The sequence below is a fragment of the Homo sapiens genome, chromosome 3, assembly GCF_000001405.40.
Source record: "Homo sapiens chromosome 3, GRCh38.p14 Primary Assembly".
Classification (NCBI taxonomy): domain Eukaryota; kingdom Metazoa; phylum Chordata; class Mammalia; order Primates; family Hominidae; genus Homo; species Homo sapiens.
The window spans coordinates 144,463,916-144,485,158 of record NC_000003.12 but is presented as its reverse complement, the minus strand read 5'-3'; the positions used below and the strand labels follow the sequence as shown (position 1 = coordinate 144,485,158).

The window sequence follows — 21,243 nt, the reverse complement described above, 5'->3', positions numbered from 1 at the left end:
TTATGGATTAATGAAAATGTTCTGGAATAAAATAGTCATAATTGTTGTACAATATTGTGTAGTTATACTAAAAACCACTGACATATACACTTCAAAATGGTGAATTATATTTCACGTGACTTATATCTCAATGTTAAACATTATAGAATGAAACAAAACTCATTAATAAGAAAACAAGCAACCCTATTTTAAAAAAATTGGCCAAGACTGTGAACAGATCCATTTTAATAAAGATGTACACATAGTAAATCACCATAGAAACAGTTTCTGAACATCACAAGTTAAAAAACACACAGAAATACTAGTACACACACCAGTAAGAGTGACTAAAATTTTAAGACTGACCTTACCAAGTATTGTAAACATCAAAAAACTAGAACTCTCATTTACTGCAGGCAGGAATGTAAAATCTGATAGTTGCTTTTGAACAAAAATGTGGTAGTTTCTTAAGAAGTTAAACATAAGCCTACCATTTGACTCTGTCATCCCATTTTTAGGTGTTTATCAAATTAAAACACATATGTTTATACATGGACTTGTACATAAATGCTCACAGTAACATCATTAACATCATCTTTAAAGACTCGAAACTAGAAACAACCTAAATGTCCCAAATGTCCAATTGCCTAAATGTGAATGGATAAACAAATTGAGGTATATCTATAAAATACAGTATTTCTCAGCAGTTAAAAAGGCATTAAATAATGATATACACATTTATATGGGTGAATGTTAAAATAGTTAAATGAATGAAAGAAATTAGGCAAACATATGATTTCACTTATATAAAATTCAGTCATGCATCGTGAGAGCAGATAAAGATTGCCAGAGACGAATCCAGAGAGGTGAGAGCTGGAAGCAAGAGGTTATAAAAGGGCATGAGGAAAGCTTTGAGGATAATGCACATATTCATTATCTCCATTATGGTGGTGGTTTTACTGGGGTACAAATAGATTATGTTTTACCAAATTGTACTATGAGATATTAGCCATTTATAGAATGTCAATTATACCTCCATAAACTGTACAAACAAATTAATTTTAAAAAACAGAATCAAATAAACTGATTTAGTCTCTGGAGATACAACAGATAATTAATGTCAGAGTTCATGACATTTTAACCACATACTATGTGGAAACCAATATTATAAGGGTGCCAATTCTAAGATTTTCATGTTGGAAGTGAGGCTGCAGCAAAGAAAAGTAAAGCAATATGCAGAAATATATGCAAGATAACTCATCTACAAAATAAAAGAGAAAGAATGGATCCCCAGTGATTTTGGTTCAATTATTGCCAAGCTAAACTTTGTTTCCTGAGATTCTCTTTCTTCATTTGAGTTTCTATGGGTTCTTTTCATATTTTAAAACCAAACTATCCATCATTTGAATAGTCTTTTTATTCATTTATTTATTTTGTTTCTTTGTAGGCACAGGTCCTTGCTATGTTGCCCAGGCTGGTCTCAAACTCCTGGTCTCAAGTGGTCCTCTCGCCTCTGCCCCCCAACATGTTGGGATTACAGGTATGAGCCACCACACTTGACCTTTTCTTTCAAGCCTGGAGCAAAAACAAACAAACAAACAAAATACTTTGTTTGGTGTTTCTATGAATTAATAAGTAGGTAACTAAATTGGCAAATAACCTAGACTATTTTGACCAAGATTTTATTGACCAGTACCTTAGTTTGAGGTCCCTTTAGAAAGAGACACTGAAGCAAGAATTCAAGTAAAAATAATTTAGTTAGGAGGTGATCCTACACTTTAACTGATACACAGACACTCTAAACTAATAATAACAAAGGTGATATACTCAGGGCACTGATGTCATCTGCTATGCCCAAGTAAGGGAAACCAGGCAAAACATTACTGCTTACAGAATTTTCTTTAAGAAGAGTTATTTCCAGCTGGCAATGCTGCATTTTATACCTTCCCTTGTTTTCTTCCCTTATTTAACCTGGCTCCCTGTTGCCTATAAGAACCAAAGTATCTGTTGGCCTGAGACACAACAGGCACCTCATCAGCTAGCCCTCACCTACTTCACCAGTGTCATCTTCTACATGATTCTGCCATAGATAACACATTGAACTACTTGCAGTTCTGCAAAGACACGGTAGTTTTGCATAACAGTATGAATTTAAACATGCAAACCAGCAACCTGAAATAGCTTTCCTCCGTGGTGACTGTTTACTTAATGTTTCAATATGCAACATAAATATACCAACTTTTACCTGAATTCTCCAAGTGTCTGTGTCCTTTGTGTCTATGTGCATATTTCTGAGACAGCATTTATATTGCATTATATTGATTAATTCATTGCTCTATTCCAGTAGATCAGAAACTCCCTAGTGACAGAGATTATTGTATTCATCTTAGCTCCAGTGGTTGGCACAATGTTGTGCAGATTGAAAATGCCCAATAACTTTTATTGGATTGTTTATGATTTTAATAATTGAAAATAGCATCAATAAATTAGCTAAATAAGTGACAATGCACTTTAAGAGTAGTATATTATGCAGCTTTTAAAAAGAATTGACTAGTGGTACATATACTGTTATGCAAAGGTAACCAAAATATATAACAAAAGTTTAAACATAATGTTAAGTGAAAATAACAAGTTACAGAATGCTATAGAGTGATCCAATTTTTGTAATATTTTGGTAAAATACAAACTCTATATATAGTATTCATAACTAAATACATATATACTATGAAGTGTCTGGACAAATCATATAGTCATGCATGACTTGACAATGGGGATATATTCTGAGAAATGCATCATTAGGATATTTTTTCTTTGTGCAAACATCAGGCAGTGTATTTACACAAACTGAGATAATGCAGCCTACTGCACAGCTAGGCTATATAGTATAGCCCACTGTTCCTAGGGTATAAACCTGTACAGAATACTACTATACTGAATACTGTAGGCAATTATAACACAATGGTAAGTATCTGTGTATCTACACATATCTAATCATAGAAAAGATACAGTAAAATACCAGATAAAAGATTAAAAATGATACACCTGTATAGCATGCTTACCATGAACAGAGCTTGCAGGACTGGAAGTTGCCCTGGGTGAGCCAATGATTGAGAGGTGAGAGAATGTAAAAGCCTGGGACATTACACTACTGTAAACTTAATCAACACTGTACACATAGGATACACTAAGTTTATTAAAAAGTTTGTCTTTCTTCAATAATAAATTAATATTGGCTTATTGTAACTTTTTGCTTTATAGAGTTTTTACGTTTCCAAACTTTTTGACTTTTCTGTAATAACACATAGCTTAAAACACAAACATATTGTACAGCTAGCTATATAAGAATATTTTTTCTTTATATTCTTATCCTATAAGTTTTTTCCTATTTTTATACTTTTTAATTCTATTTTTGCCTTTTAAACTATTTTTTTAAGAACTAAGACATACACATAGAAGTTATACTAAGCCTACCAGGTGTCAGGAGCATTAACATCACTGTCTTCCACCTCCACATCTTGTCCTGATTGTCTTCAGGGGCAATAACACAAATGGAACCGTCATCTCCTATGATAACAAGACCTCCTAAAAGGACCTACCTGAGGATGTTTTACAGTTAACATTTTTATAAGTAGGCATGCACTCTAAAATAATAACAGATAGTATAGTAAATACATAAACCATTATCTTAGTGATTTATTATCATTATCAAGTATAATGTAATGTACATAATTGCATGTGCCAGGACTTTATAACTGGCTATACAGTAGGTTTGCTTACAGTAGCATCACCACAAATATGTAAATAATGCATTTCGCTACAATATTATGATGACCACGACCTCACTAGGTGATGGAAATTTTTCAGCTCCATTATAATCTTATGAGATCACCATAGTATATGCAGTCCTTCTTTGACAAAATTGTTGTCATGTGGTATATGATCATATACAAAACTATTAACAATGGTAATGCCCAGAAGCTAGAATTATGAAGCACATACATTATGTTTACAACTCTATGTTGTTTTAATTTATATAATAATAAGGTAATTAGTTTTATAGGATAAAAATAACAATAATGATAAATATAGAGAGAATGAGCTTTTATCATAATAAAACCTAATTTAGAAATAGTAATGTGAGAATCCAGTTAATTCCATTTAAATCAGCCAAGAAGCTTGAGTTCCATTTAATAGAGTGTCCTTGTAGATTCAAAAAGAGAGGTAGTGGGGAAAAGCATAAGGAGATGCTATGAAGGAAATTGAAAGCATTTTGTATATTTTAAGCTGAGATAGAGAAGACTTGGTAAGGAACATAACCTGTCTTCAAATTCTTGAAGATTGTTTTATGGAAGAGGTCATAAATGTGTTGTGTTTTGCCTTTGGGGTTTTCCTAAGGTCAGTGTGTGAAACTTGTAGAGAGAGATTCAGATTTAGTGTAAAAAGAGACCTTTTGCATGGTCATCATTTTACAAAGATAGAAAGAACAAGCTCCATGGTTTCCTCATTTTCACAATGCCTGAAGTTATCCAAATACAATCTGGAAAAACACATGTCAGAAAAATTGAGCAGTAACTCCCAGTCTGGTTAGAAGGGAGGGTTAAATGCCCTATCTAGGCTCCCTTCCAGCCATGAGGTTATGATATTGTGAGATCAGAACTTTCCAAAAGAGCTTTGTAATTTTTAGGACATGGAAAGCATTTCTATAAAAAAGTGATTCTTTTTTATTAAATTTGGTTCACATTACACAGTTAAAAGCAAAATGAAAAGTCTGGAGACATAGTTCTGTTCCAAACTTTCTAATAAATTCATTCATTCATAAATTCAAAATTTATTGAGTGCCTGCTATGTGTCAGGAACTTCATGAGAAAAAAAATAAAGGAAAAAAAAGGTATAGTCCAAGTAGTTTGTATTTGAATAGATGAGGAAAAATTTTAAGCAAACAATTACAGTGCAATAGCTGAATCAATAGAGGAACATAACACAGTTCAGTAGCAGCAGAAAGAAGAGGAAGAACCTTGTCAAGGAATGCCAAGAGTTGTATGGGTAGGGGGGCATACAGAAGCATGCAAATGTGTGAACAAAGATGCGGATATGAAAAAATGTAGATGGTTTACTATCACTAGAACTTAGAACATCTATATTTTAAGAATATGAGACTAAAATGTCAAAGCCACATTAAAGAGTATTTTGAGTACCATTCTAAAAAAAAAGGCAGGGTTTTCTTTGAAGGTAATTGGAAGCCACAGGAAAGCCTTTAATAATTTAAAAAAAAAGAATACTAAGTACGTACTTTATAAAGTTTGCACCTGTCAGCTTCATGAAGGAAGAGATGGTGAAAATTTAGATAAGAAAAGGAAAGGCAGTTAATAAAATTTAATTGGCTTTTCAAAATGTGGCTAAAGAAATGGAGAGATAAGCAAAAGAAAGGAGGGCTAATAAGAAGGTAGAATCATCAGGATTTAGTGATTAATTGAATGTGGATATTGAAGGAAAAAGTAAAATTCACTAGGCCTACAGTGAGTCTGGTTTTTGAAACTGGGTAGATTATCCGAGACAAGGAACGCAGAAAGAGGAACTCTTTCTGGGAAAAATAAAAAATAAATACAAGACAATAAACAATAGCATCAACACAAAATCTTCTCCTGTTTGATGTTATTAAGAGGACTAAATAAAAATGTCCTGGACACCCTGGAAGAGATGGACTGGAGCTGAATTACAAGATCCGAGCTACAGACACATAACTGGAAGTCCTTATGAACATATATACTTGGAAAGCTTATTGATATGGATAATATTCCTGGAAAGGGGAGAAAACAATAAGAGAAAGGAAAACTGGCATCTTTACATCTCATATCTTTAAGAGAAAACAGCAAAGGTAAGAAAATAATTAACTGGTTAGATATCATGATTGATCCTCCGACTTGAAAGCAACCTACAATGCTAGATAATTTTTAAATCTTTTTTTTTTTTTTTTTACTTTACTCTAAGTTCTGGGATACATGCGCAGAATGTGTAGGTTTGTTACATAGGTATATGTGTGCCATGGTGGTTTGTTTCACCTGTCAACCTGTCACCTGTCAACCTGTAATCTAGGTTTTAAGCCCCACATGCATTAGGTATTTGTCCTAATGGTTTCCCCCACCTTGCCCCCACCCCCCAACAGGCCCTGGTGTGTGATGTTACCTTCCCTGTGTCCATGTGTTCTCCTTGTTCAACTCTCATGAGTGAGAACATGCGATGTTTGGTTTTCTGTTCCTGTGTTAGTTTGCTGAGAATGATGGTTTCCAGCTCCATCCATGTCCCTGAAAAGGATATGAACTCATTCTTTTTTATGGCTGCATAGTATTCCATAGTGTATATGTGCCATTTAATCTCATTTGCAATAGCTACAGATGAAAAAAAACCTAGGAATAAACCTAACCCAAGAAGCGAAATATATCTACAATAAAAACTATAAAACATTAATTCAGGAAACTGAAGAGGACACACAAAAACTGGAAAGATATTCCATGTTCATGAATTGGAAGATTCAATATTGTTAAAATGTCCGTACTACTAAAGGCAATCTATAGATTCAATTCAATCCCTGTCAAAATACCAACGGCATCCTTCACAGACATAAACAATCTTAAATTTTATATGGAGCCACAAAAGACTCAGAATAACCAAAGCTGGAAAAAGAACAAAACTGGAGGAATCATATTACCTGGCTTCAAATTTTAATACAGAGCTATCTATTATAACTAAAACAGCTTGTTACTGGCATAAAATACACACATAGACCAATGAAATAGAACAGAGATCCCAGAAACAAATCCATACATCTACAGTGAACTCCTTTCTGACAAAGTTGCCAGGAACATATACTGGAGAAAGAACAGTATTTTCAATAAATGGTGCTGGGAAAACGGGACATCCACATTTAAAAGAATGAAGCTAGACCCCTATTTCTTACCATATACAAAAGTCAAATCAAAAATGAGTTAAAGACTTAAATCTAAGACCTCAGACTATGAAATTATTACAAGAAAACAATGGAGAAAATATTCAAGACATTGGGCAAAAATTTCTTGAGCAATACCCACAAGCATAGGCAGCCAAAGAAAAAAGGATAAATGGGATCGCATTGAGTTAAAAAGCTTCTGCACAGCAAAGGAAATAAGCAACAAAGTGAAGAAGCCCCTTCTAACTCCCCCACCAAAAACTCTACCTCTCTTACCCTAACTGGCTCTAAGAATGCTGTCAATTAGGTCTTTACTCTCCAGACAAATGTGGAAATATGACAGCCTCAAATGAAAGACCTAAGATTCTGATATCAGAAGTTTGCCAAATGAAAGCTCCAGCCACATCATCCTACAATGAGGCTTATTGTCAACAGGCCTCAGAGGATTCCACTACTCTTAATCATGTGCAGACAACAACAAATGAGCACACATCTAGGGGAAACCTCTAACAAGAGATATAGAGATGAAAGAAAACGTATAAGAACAAGTGCTTTGCAGGCTGTAGAGAGGATACATGGAAATAAAACTCTTTAATACAACAATTAGTATCCTTAAAGAAAAAAGGAAAGATGGCAAACCATAAAGTAAGAACACAGTGCTATAAAAAGGAATACTTAAGGGAATAAAAAGATCTCAGTAATTAAAAATATAATAGCAGTAATGAAAAACTTTGGAGAAGTGCTAAAAGATAGAGTCAAGAAAATGTTCCAGAAAGTAAAGCAAAAAATAATAAGTGTAAAAAGTATTAGAAAATGAATGCTGGAGATATAACTTCCAGATGGAAGTTCTAAAAAGAGAGAACAGAGAAAATTGAGAGGAAGTAATCATTTAAATAATTTCAGAATAGTGCCCACAACTGAAGTTTATGAGTTTCCACATTAAAATGATACTTTAATAACTAAATTTTAACTGTTATTATAGGAAGTCAGTAAATGATACCTAAAACTGACCAATAATAAAAATGTATTATAGTCCTATTATTTAGAAATGCTGAGACAAACGCCAAAATAATCAGATAAAAGAACAAAAAAATTATTTCTCAGGATGAAGAAATAAAAGGAGAGAGGTTCTAAGAATTGCATAGTTTGTAGAATCATTTGATTTTTTAATTCACACTTATTAATTAGATAAAAATAAAAACTAAAAATTATAAATAATCCTGAATAAATAGATTTAATGGTAGATTCAACCAATATGGATGAAAAAAAAACTAATTACCTCGAAGATACATCTGAGGAAATTAATCAGAATGTAGCATAGAGGGATAAGGAGATAGAAAATATGAGAAAGAGGCTAAGAGACTGGGAGAACATGTCGGGAGGCCTAGTATGTAACTAATCGGAGTCCCAGAAGGAGAGAGAGAGAGAGATAATAAAGGGGAGACAATACTTAAAGGAGTAATGACTGAGTTTTCAAGGACTAATGGAAGACTTCAATGCCTACCCTTAGAAATTCCAAAAGAAAGGTCAAAGATAAACCAGGAGGTGAGGATGTCATGGAATCTACAGGAGTACAAATTTTCTATGATAAGAGCTGGATCCACATTTCTGGTTATTTTTCTATCCTGTCATCAATTGTTGACTAAAATAAACCTATTTGCTTACACATTTAAAGAACGTATTTGCCATGTACAAAATATTTCAATTTTGGCAAATCAGATACACACGTGTAGACACATATCATGTAAACTATTTAGGAGGGCTCTTTACTAGTAAACTCAACCAAAGTGATCAAACTAATTTGTAGGTATAGGCTTTGTCTCATAACTAAAGAGAAAATCATTTTCCCTTAGACAGTCTCCCTAGGAAATGTGGCCTGAAATACAAAGGTAAAGTAGCTTGAAACATACGTAAGTGTTGTCTCTATAATGCCACAAACAACTGAAGATAGAACGAAAGCATCAGGGAATCAGTTCTCTGTTTTGCTTACATGATAAAACCCAATCTAACTGATTCAAAATATTAAATTAGTTATTTTGGCATTATGTAGACAAAACCTTTGTTATCTAATTAGGGAGTTCATTTCCTGTTCCTTTTCCTTAGCAACCTGGTTTCCATCTGTTTATTACCCAATCATTGTTAGTTTCTACTTGGATGACCAGGTATAATTTAGGCAGTATAAGTATCATTTCAAAACGGTTAACCCTGCATCACACTGTAATAAAATTCTTTTGCTCTTAAAATTTTATATGATTTTAAAAGTTAGTGAGCATGTGAATTGGGGTTTCACAAAAGGCACAGGCAACAGAGAAACATTTTTTTTAATGGATTTATTTCTTTGTTAATTTAAGACATTTCTCTAGTGGCAGCCACATGTGAATAAAGCATTGCCTTAATTGACAGTAAAAAATTTCTTCTAGAAACTAGTACAAACTGTGGAGAAGTGCAAAACATGCAAATATCTGTACTGATGTGTTTGTGGAAAGGTAGAAGTAGAGTGAAGACAGAAAGTGGCAATAAGACCAGTGAACAAGTGACAAGGCTTTCTTGGAAAGAGCTTGGTAATTAAACACATTAACACTGTTCCCTGGCAGTATGTTAGTTTAGCTAAAGCTAACTTAAGAGGACATTTTACAGAGTACAAGAGCTCATATGGAGCCTTTATTTAACAACTTTCAGATCCTCACATCTAGGTTATAAAATAATAGCATCTTCACTTACAAGAGAGTATCATGATCAACTTTGTCTTGTAAATGTTCTTCCTGGCTGACTTACGTATTGACTTAGGTAATGCAAATATTTCCTGTGATATTTTTAGCATTAAAGGGGTCCTTTCATAGCTACAATTTTAACTTTTATTATAGGTAGTAAGTAAATGATACCTAAAATTGACCAATAGTGAAAATGTATTATAGTTCCATTATTTAGAAATGCAGAAACAAATGCCAAAAAATAGTCAGATAAAAAATAATTACATATTATTTATTTTGGGTTTTGCCTTTCTTTTTACTTGCTGAAAGAAACACAATTTCCTTCTCCTGTCTCTTTGCTTATTTCTTATTCTTCAAATAAACATTTTACGTGTAAATGGAAGAAGAAAATTACCTTTTTCTTTTTTTTGCCTCAGCTAGGTTCTTCCATGACACAGAATTGTTGAATATACAGCTCTAAAGCTAAAAGTAAGAAACACAGCATTCTGTCTGCGGAAAACTGTGTTGTATACCCTGAGGAAATGACAATAGACAGTTGAAATAAACATTGATAATGAATTTTGCTATTTATCTTTGTTTTGTTTTGGTCCAAATCAATGAAGACAAAGAGTCAAGATGGTGAGCAGTGGGTCTTGGCCGATTCTATTGAAAATCTAATTAAAAGATTCTTCTCATCTAAGATTATATTGGAATTCTAAACACAAAAGATGCTGCCACTAGTTAGAACAAATGTAATTCAAAACACTCCTAAGAAAAGAAGTGGTGTTTAATTGCTTGTCAATAGGCTATTGTTTAATGTTACTCACCTCAGATCAAACTTGCTCAAAGACAAATGTTCATGCTTTTATTAGCTGTACTCTGTGACATGACATTCAAATAAACTAAAGACTAATAAATCAAAGTGTAGGAATTAGAACCACAATATTTATTCTTTCTGGGTATCCGTGATATACAAATGATTGCTTTGTGTTAAAATTCTCAATAAATAAAGTAATATTGCTTGAAGGCATGAAATTAAATTAAGTTTGCCATTACTCTGAACACACCACCATTTTTTAGTACTCTTTCTGTATGTGGAAAATTGGAAACCCTCTGTACTCTCATAATTTCCAGTGTTTATACATATGCCTGTCAAACAAACCCTCCCTTTTAAACAGAGTTTATTCTTCATTTAATTTTGCATTCTTTTTCAAAACCAAGGGTTAACATAAAGCAATGACTTCCTAATGTATAGAGACTGGGTGAGTGAGTGAATGAATGTATGTAGATAGGTGGAAATTTTGGAGGTTTGCCTCTCAGTGTCAGAAAGTCAGATTAGGCAGACCAGCATCTTTACTTGGCCTCTGATACAGCATCTCACTTTAATTCTTATTTTCCCTTTTGTTTTGATGCTCCTTTGCCTCCTAATTTCTTCAGGCAAACAAGAATTTATGAAGCACCTTTTCACTGCAAATCAATTTAGGTATATGCTAATTGTACTCATGGTTTGTTCATTCAATAAGCTTCCTGTTCAGTATGGAAGATAAGAAAATTCAAATAAGAATAAATTTAAAAGTTACATCCTAAGAGTAAAGCAAATGAGGTTCTATGGCAACCTCCGTTCTTCTAATGACACCATTAATTTACCACATTTCCTTCTTCCTAAAACAGTATTGATTTTCAAGGCATATCATCAAATTGAGAATAGCATTTTGAGGAAATACATTATATTAAAATGTACATATTTAAAAACTACTTAACAGTAACATTCATTTATCCATAAAATTGCATGTCACTTTATTCATCAGTATCAGCATCTAAGCCATGACATAGTCCAAATCTAAAAATTCTTCTGATAAATTTTGACCATCAGTGGGTAAGCATATCATCATAGTGACCAACAGTGCTCACGACCCTAATTTCTTAACATTTTTAGGAGCAACAGTATAATTTAGAAACAAATCAGGTAATTCTAGAATTTTTTTCTCCATTTACTATTTCGTTAAATTCTAGTTAACTTGTTTGTGTTTATGGCTGAAGTGATAGTCCCCCAGGACTCAAAAATTGGTCAGAGTTTTTATCTAGTTTTGAAAAAACTACAGTGAATTCGAAAAACTTTGGCAATACTACGACCTTCATTATGCTAGATGGCAAAAAACAGGCGATCGTCTAGGTTCACAGTAACTTCTAGTTCTAATGCTCCTTAAGGGGGTTATCTTTTTGTGGACATTTTAAATGACAAATGCAGAACCAAATATAAAATTCAACCACTGCTGATGGTACTAAGGCAAATAACCCTTCTCAAATAGCAGCCTGATGAAACAGAAGTCAGATGAATATACCTTTAATTCTTGACCATGTTACCATAAGCTCAGAAATGACAAGTATAATTTATTTCATGCATAGAAGGCTTTTTGACGTCAATGATGTTTACCAATTTCAGAAACATTGACATTAAAAGTAAGTTGAATTTCTTAGAATTGAATTTCTTAGAATATTTCTGTTTGAATGTGACCCATAACTTCTGATAATTTAATAAAATGACATTCCCTATTTTTATTTGTGCCTTACATGCTGGGCACTTTACACATTATTAATGTACTTAGGATGTTGCTATATTCTGGCCAGTAGTGTTGCACCTCTAATTTCTACTGTTAGTACATGTATAGATCCCCTAGGTAAAATCACTAGAAATATAGTAGACCTCTTAGGGCAATGAAGGAGGCTTAGTCTGAGTTGCTTGTTGTTCATATAAATCAGAAATGTACAAAGTCAAGTAGAAATGTAAAGTACCCAATCAACTAAACTTTGTGTCACTGATATCAACTTTCCAATCCACCTTAAGGTTTAAGTATAAAAGAAGGAAATAAAAGATAAATCAAACATAGGTACATAGGGGCAGGGGATGCCACTACAAAACAAACAAATCAACAAAAAACAATATTACAGGGGAAATTCAGTCCCCGACGAAGATGATAAATCTAAATTCACATTTGTTGTTTGCGGGTAACAAAATAATATCCGAGGTAAAAATTTACATTGGTTATTTGGAAATGGTGTAAGTTCTGCAATAAAAGAAGTGAACTGTTGGTAACCGTTTGGAATACAGTCAGTAATTGAAGCCCCAAAGAATTAATTGCTATTAAGAAATAATGATAAAAATAAATTAGAACTTGTGTTCAAACTTAATATTTTAATGTAACCATTGACTTCTATAACATACATATATTCCTTGAATGTGGCTAATATGATGAGGTCCACTCAATCCTATATTGGGAAACTTAGATGACACGAGAGTGAGTTTCTAATACCCTGGCATTGCTCTGAACTGCCAGTTCCTAACCTACCTTAAATCCTACAATTTTTTCCTCATCTCTACAGATTCTTACCACAGGGTTTCTCCCCCAACCCCATTTATGGCTTTGTTTCCGCCTTCAGACTGTAGGATGGATTCACTCCTATGTTCTGGCTTTCCACGACATCTGTACCTTATCATTATTTTGTCTATAGCTGTACAGTCTTCTGCAGCCCCAGGTGAAGATCTGCACATGAGGAACAATCTCAGGATTCTCTGTCTCATTGCAGCCCTCCCTGAGTGTTGTCCTCTTCTGTTTTAGAATGGATCCCTCTAATGAGACCCACATCTATTTACTTAATAGGAGACCACTAGTTTCTACAAAGAATAAAAAAGGATTGAGCGTTAAAAACAAAGAGTATGTTTCTTGAGGAGAGCTCTAAAAACAAACTAAAAGAGCAAGTTTAAATATAATAGGAAAATCCATAGGATAAAAATAAGTTGTTCTTAAAATTTTATGTTTGCTCAATAGTTTCTAAAGTACGATAGCTCTCTATTCATCAGTAAAGACTAACTTCTCCAAATTCTAAAAGCATAAAAAGTGCCAGACTATGAAAGATCTATTCAATTAACTCACATGTACACCATCTGCCACCATCAAATTTACAAAATGCATAAACTCCACAAAACAATTTATAACAATTTATGACAAAATCTTAAATCGTGCATTTAAAAAATAAAATTTATATTTAAGTATGTATACATACAAACATATATTAATATGACTATGTATATATTAACCTAGTATGCACAAATAAGTAAAACAACTACATGTTAACAATTATAAAAAGTATTGTCTTACAGAGCAAATCTTATGCAAATTTAGCAATAATTTAACTGTTAAAATTTCAAATTATTAGAACAAGACAGCTTTCTTTTTTTCTAAAAATTTTTTTTGAAACTTCCGGCATAAGTAATAATCAACCCCAACAGTTTTCAAACAATACTTTTGTTTGAGTCCTGGGCTTCCAAGTTGAAAATGGCAAAATAAGTCTCCAGTAAATAAAATTATCTTCCTTTTTTGAAAACTTTATATTACAAATGCTACTTGCACAATATTAACGTTAATAATCATAGATTTTAATTTCACTAAAAATGATATTTGTAAAAAATGCAAATTTGTGTTAAGAAAGGTTAATCTGGATCATATTTGGGGCAAGATTAACAAAAATAAGGTTGAATATTTTGCCCTGATCTCAAATCCATCCCACAGGATGCAAAATGAATTTGAAATAAAATCAGGCAGTTTTCACAGGCTCAGAGAAACTGAATTCGGCAACTAGTATTACCTACCACTAGTGGCCAAGAGTCCAGATGGATCCTGAAGTTAAATATAGCTTATTCTGAGCTATTAGTGCCAGCTACCAGACAACTGAATATTCTGAGAGATAATCAGCCATTTGTTGAGAACCTCAGGCACATACCTGTGGCTTCAGGAGGTAAAGGAGAAATACATATTTCCAAATATCATCTCATAATTATTTAGCAGCAGGCCTGGAATCACTTGATCGCCTCTTAATTGAGTAAAGTGTTCTTACCAAAATGATCACAGGTCACAATGGGAAAGCATCTACCATCCTTCTTTTCTCAGATTTGTTTCCCATCATATACCTGGAAAATCCAAAAATAGAATATGGAATTTTGCTGCATTTTAAACCAATAGATTAATAACTGGTTATTATAGGCTGGAAGGTTGGAAAAGGGGGATATATATATATATATATATATATATATATATATATATACATACATATACACACACATACACACACACACACATATATATACACATATATATTCACTTGAATGCTCTTGAACTCAAGTCTCAGAGGAAAGAGGCCCACCATGAAGTAGAAAGGGAAGTGAAATTTCATTAATTTGAACAGATCAAAAGGATTATAAAGATACATATTGGAAATAGATCCACAGGAGTAGTTGAGATTTTAGCAGGCTAAGAAGAATGAAATGGCATGTTTATCAGAGGGAATAACAGAGGTAAAGAGCCTATGTTTACGAAATAGCCATTGAGATGCAGGAGGGTAACAATAGCTCTCTTTGATGTTTGAGAATTAGGTGCCAGGCACAGCCAATAGTATACACAGGTAGGTCTAATGACTGTGGTCCAATATTCCAATAAAGTTATGGGAGTAGCAGTATTAAATTATCACCATTTTATTGATGAAGACATTAAGGTACAAAGTGTTCATATAACTTACCTTCAAGAACACAGTTAACAAGTATGAGAGTTAGGATTATGAATTGAGGTGGAGGGACTGTCAAGCCAATATTCCTAATCACTATGCCATACTATATATTGAGGAAATAGGAGAGTGTGAACTGGTTAAGTAGATTAAGGCTATGTCGTGAGGACCTAGCCTGCCTCCTACAGAATTTGTTTAGGCATGTCTCCTGTTGTGTGAGTTTATGTGATATGAATTAGAGAGAATATGATTGAATAATTAAGGGGAAAGAGTGTCACTACTCCAGCAGCTGTTGGAAATAATGTTATTGTGACTGGGAAGAAGCACCTTGCTCAGTGGGAAAATGCTATTGAGTAAACAGAGTAGGAACCCACACCTGCTTGGCTTGCAATAAATGGATGCTCAGCTGGTGTTCTTTCTTCTATTTCCTGCTGGAAGTTGTAAACATCACTAGAATTCATTTTGACAGTACAAAGTTTATTGATTCTTGTCTGATCTTACATGCTCTTCAGTATCTTCCCAGGGATGTTTTGGTTTATTTTTATTGGTTTTGTTTATTATTTGTCGCTTTCATATAATACTGCCATACCTAGTTTGAATAATAATTTCATCAAAGAAATTTTTGAATAAAATATAATTTGGTTATTGTGGTCTGGTATTATTTACTCCTTTCCTTACCCTCTCTTAACACATACATATTGAAACAATTGGTTTTATAATACAATTTTTGAAAATGTGAATTTTATTAGTAATATTGCTGTCATTAATAGCAAAAAAAAAGATTTAACTTAAAACTCAGTATGCAATGGGGAAGCATTAATGGTTTCTGAGAAGATAAATGTGATACAAAGAACCATGAATTAGATAGATAGATACTGGGTAGATGGTTTGCAGTAAGGGAGAGAGAAAAAACAGGAGAAAATAAAGATGAGTCAAAGGTGAATGCATTTCAAACCCATGTGTCTGAGAGAATAGTAGTAACATTAATAACCTCAGCCAAAAAGACATAAGGAGAAATGTAATAAAACAACAGTCTCAACTGATCATGTTTTGGAAATACACATTTTATAGGCATAATTCTCCTGTCATGAAATTTAGTTATCTGTAACAAATACAAATGTCACATTAAAACCATTTGTTTCCCCAAAGACACATATCCCTGCCTAAGATGTTACTTATAAGAAACAATTAAAATCAATCCCTTAATAATTTATATTTTTCCACATATACCCCAATTCCTCTGTGTTTTTGAAAAGGCTGCACCTTTTCAAAGGTGAATAGACAATTATGTGCAATGCCTATTATAAGTGCTTCATGGTTAAACTAACATACTGCTTGCTGAGTTACCATGGAATTTAACTCATAGTAATAGAGCATAAAAGCACTTCTAAAATTGAACTTAAAACTCATATACTTATTAGGAGTCTCTTTATTTCTTCTACTGTTAGTAGTCTCCACAAATATATTTTCAATAATCAAAATTATAATTCATTCAATAGCTGGAGGTCAGATATCAATTCTAAATCATTTTCTCACAAGCTCGGGCCTTTGAAAATTAAAATTAATTATCCAGTTACAATAGCAACAAATCACAGTTAAATTCTTACATTATCACAAGGGGACCTTTGTCTTAAGATCTAATTATTGATCTATTTTCTAATGCAAAGAAGCATACCTAGTTATGTATAAATGTGTTTTTGATAGTTTTTCAGTGGAATTGACAAATTATGGATTAGCCTCACCTCACCGTCCTTAGATCAGCAAATATTTGGAAATCCTCCAAATGCATTAATCGATTGGAACATGTCTGATTAGTCTGACATTATCTCTTGACAAATGCCTTCATTCTCTTCTGAATCAGCACGATATACACAAACTTCAGTTTGTCTCTGTAGCAGACATTTCCTGTGAGGCGAAAACAGATTGCAGCATGAATACATTGTCTAAATTTATTTTGAATTCTTAACCTAAATTTTTAAATCTTAACAAAATATTACATTTGATAAGGTTTATCATTTTCCAAGGCAAGAGTAAATTGAATTCTTCTTATATACCTCAACCGAAAGGTTAAAAAATGAAAGTATTTAATAAAATTTTACTAAGTAATCTGAATAGATAAATGTGTGGGTAGTTTTCAATATGAACACAAATATTTCATTGAACAATTGACAGTTCAACAACCATGTTCATACTTATTAATTTTTTTTCACAGCTCTTTCTGCTATATCCAAATTGTTATTTGTGTTGGGAAAGTAGATCCAAATGTTTAAACATATTCCTTCCCTCTTTTCTATGAATACACCTGCCATAAAAAATGATGTTTTGTTCTGTGGTTTCATCTAAGTTTATGTAAGAGATCTAAAGGAATATAGCAATATCACATACCTCACAATTAAGGTGGCTCTGTTTCCAAAGATGAAAAAGCTGGTGGGAGGGATAGGGAAAAGAGTAATACACTTGGAAATACCATACCAAAAGATAGCTTAAGGATGGCCTTTACTAGAAAATATGACTCTGCCATGATAAGAAGTTGGAGTGGCTCTGGGGAGCTATCTGTCCATTGTAGAGAAACAGAGCTAATCTGATAAAGGGCTTTTGAAGCAAAGTGACCCTGGAGCATTTGTTGGCTGTGTGACAAAGCTGACTAGTCTGGTCCTCTGGGCCACCACTAAGCCTACTCTTAAAAACAACACCTGATAAATGCACTCAGCTACCTATTATGCCTCTTTCCCTTAAACAAAACTTTACCCTACAAAACTGTGTTTTTTTCCTACCTTGGATGCATATTAAATGCCTAGGAAGCTTTTAATACATGCCTTGGTCTCTGACTTATTCAAGACCCATAAAATCAGGATGTGGGTTGGAGCAGAATTTGTTTTTTAAGGGATCTCCGTGGTTGAGAATCAGTGCCTTAAGTGATCAGGCTACATGCATCCTCTTCTACTGGTCACAATCACTTTTCCAGAGCTCAATTCTGCTCCAGGTGAATGCCCATGACCAACTCAAATCACATGCTGCCTGAGGCCCACATCGTAAGCTCCCCACACCTATCATAGAGTAATCTTCGTAAGATACTGAGGCTGATGGTTGTGCTTTAGATACATGCATGCTAAAATCAATCAAGAAAGGAGAATTTAGGAGAAGAATTAAAACATAATCACAGCATAGGAGGACTGGAAATAAGTCATTCTGAAACAAAGAAAGCAAACAAATGCTAGAGAGTTCATGCATTATGTCATATATCAGAAATAAACCTTATTAAGGCAATATACTGTACAGAGTGTAGAAACCAAAATCTTTACCCAGTCGTCAACAGGGCTCCCTCCATCTATAACAATCCCTGAAGAGGCTATATAATGCAAGACTTTATAAGAACAGAGATTAATTGACAGTTACTGAGTGTGTTCAATGGAATAAGAATAATAGAGTTTGCTTCAAAGAGGCACACAAACAAACTACACATGCAATATAAATTTACTATTAACTGTTATTTTTAATTCTCTAATACACTCACAAAAGCCTTTAACCCCATGAAAGTAAAGTAGTTGCTTCTCATGGGCCAACACTTGTAGGTAGATTAAAAATGGCAATTTCGAGTATATAGCCAAGGAGGATTGTTGAGTCATGCTTGAGATTAGCAGGAAAGAAATGCCCTATTCAAACAGCATTGCCTGCTGTGGGTGCAGGAGCATGTATGCTGGCAACCTCACCTGCCTTAGCCATGTTCCTTATCTGCTCCTTCTGTATTGTCTTCCCTTTACCCTCTTATCTGGTTCTACTTAAATTGCTGATCTTTTTCTGTATTCAAGAGTTTTAACACTCCAACATTCTCTGACTAGGAGTAGGTAATTACTCATAGCTGAGTTTTTATAATAATTACAAAAATTAGTTTCCTCTTCTTATTGCTAAAAGTTTGCATGTGTGTCCTTAATGAATGACTTTTTTGCAGGGAAGGGTGGAGAAAGAGGGGGTTGTCTTCCAAGGGTCTCTGTTATTAAAAGACCTGAAGAGTTTCTCTTTCTCTTTTTTAAAAAATATGTTCTGGAGAATGCCTGTCACCAATAACATATTTTCCAGAAATAGCCTTGTTTTATTTCTGTATAATGCTGTCTTTTTCTCTTTCTCAATCTCTACTTGGAGCTGACCTGCTGTGGTGGGAAGGGATTTCTATTCTGCTTTGGGTCTGAGTGGGAAAAAGCAACCTCCATTTCACGTCTAAGTGAAAAACACGCCTCCACTAGAAGCCAGGGACCCTGTGTGGCTTTATGACTGAAGCAAAAAAGAACTTCACTTTTGATACTTTCATAACCACTTTTTCTTAGAATAAAGTAAAATTATTGTGGGAATCATGACCTAAATTCCTCCAACATGTTTATTCAGCTATTTCATAAGTCATAAGACATAAGTAATCTCATACAACATAATTTCTTGTCTGCATTAGCATATTTCTCAGCCCCACACATAAAATGAGATGGAAAGCTTGATTAAAAACATAATAGAATGGATGAATTTCAGAAAATGTCTGTAAATTCACCATATAACCAAAAATGAAAACCAGGGCATAATATTTGGTATTTAAATATTCTATATCCTGTTTCCTATAGAATTTTTTGACTAATGTTTTTAGACTCATACAAATATACTGTCCAAGTAAAGAATTCCAAGTCTTCCGTATTCTCGATAAAACTTAGAAGAGTTTTAAATATATTAGTGATGTAGAATGAAGTCTCTCTTGATTAATCAAGATGCTACAATGATGGAAATATATTAAGGATCTGAACTTGTTATGAAAATAGACAAAACTGTGACAATATTTATCAAGTGAAAAAGATACAATGGGCCAAATGAAATAGAGTTAGGAACAAGAAAAGAGTTCATGGCTATAAACTGAGTAGAGTTTGTTTTGTTGTTTTGTTTATTTGTTTGTTTTAAGACAGAGTTTCACTCTCGTTGCCTAGGCTGGAGTGCAATGGCGGGATCTCGGCTCACCACAACCTCTGCCTCCTGGGTTCAAGCGATTCTCCTGCCTCAGCCTCCACAGTAGCTGGGATTACAGACATGCGCCACCAAGCCCAGCTAATTTTGTATTTTTAGTAGAGACAGAGTTTCTCCGTGTTGGTCAGGCTGGTCTTGAACTCCCGACCTCAGGTGATCTGCCTGCCTCGGCCTCCCAAAGTGCTGGGATTAAAGGCATGAGCTACCACATCTGGCCTGAGTAGAGTTATTTTTGTTTTTTAAAGAATTATAAAGTAGTAGAAAGAGCAACTTTATGACAATTTTTAATTAAAGAGATCATATCCTGGTAAATTATAACTATCAATACAGACACAAGAAGAAAGAGAAAAAATGTGAATTAATCCAGAACAATTTAAATTTGCTAAACATTTATTTCTCATGAATTTCTGTTTAACAGAAGGCATCATTAGGAACATAAAAATACAAGCCATAGAAAACAAAAGTGAAAAGGCAAGCCACACAATAGAAGATATTTGTATACATATATCCATAAAGACCACAAACTGAAGCTATACATGTGTGTATGCATATGTATTTGTGTGTGTATGTGTAGATGATAGATATTCTTACAATTCTTTGACAAAGAAAAAAATAATAGAAAAATAGGGAAAATACTTGAACAAGAAATTCACAAGAAGATATCTACATGGTCGATAAACATATAAAAATATATTCAGTTTCACTAGTGATGAGGAAAATGCAAGTTGAAACCTCAATGCGATACCACTATGCATTCACTGAGATGGCTAAGATTAAACGACTGACAACACTAAGTATCAACAAAAATGTGAAGCAACTGGAGCTAATTTCCTGCTGGTGGGATTGTAAATTTGTTTGACTGCTAGGGAAAACTGGCAGTGTGCACTAAAGCTCCCATATGCCCTCCCTATGACTCAACAAATTCTACTTCTAGACATATGCCCAAGTCTTTGTGTGTGTATTTGAATGTATGTATACAAAAACAGTAGAAGGAAGTTCACAGCGGACTACTTGTAAGAAAAAAACACTGAAACAATCCAAATATTCATTAACAATAACATAAATGAAGAAAGTATAATA

The 21,243-nt window shown here is 33.6% G+C and overlaps 1 long non-coding RNA gene across 4 annotated transcripts in view; it reads right to left on the bottom strand.

The window, feature by feature from the left end:
* Positions 1-208: 208 nt before the first annotated feature.
* The window catches only part of LOC105374140 (uncharacterized), a 266,957-nt gene continuing 245,922 nt past the window's right edge, over positions 209-21,243 (bottom strand). For 3 of the 4 annotated variants that reach the window (XR_001740941.2, XR_924558.4, XR_001740943.3), the window contains 2 exons: positions 16,911-17,073; positions 12,786-14,578 (listed from right to left, as the gene is read on the bottom strand). This is a non-coding gene — a long non-coding RNA (uncharacterized LOC105374140). Of the gene's footprint in view, positions 1,555-3,038; positions 3,071-3,450; positions 14,579-16,910; positions 17,074-21,243 lie in introns of those variants that run through there. The other variant, XR_007096124.1, reaches the window with a different exon arrangement.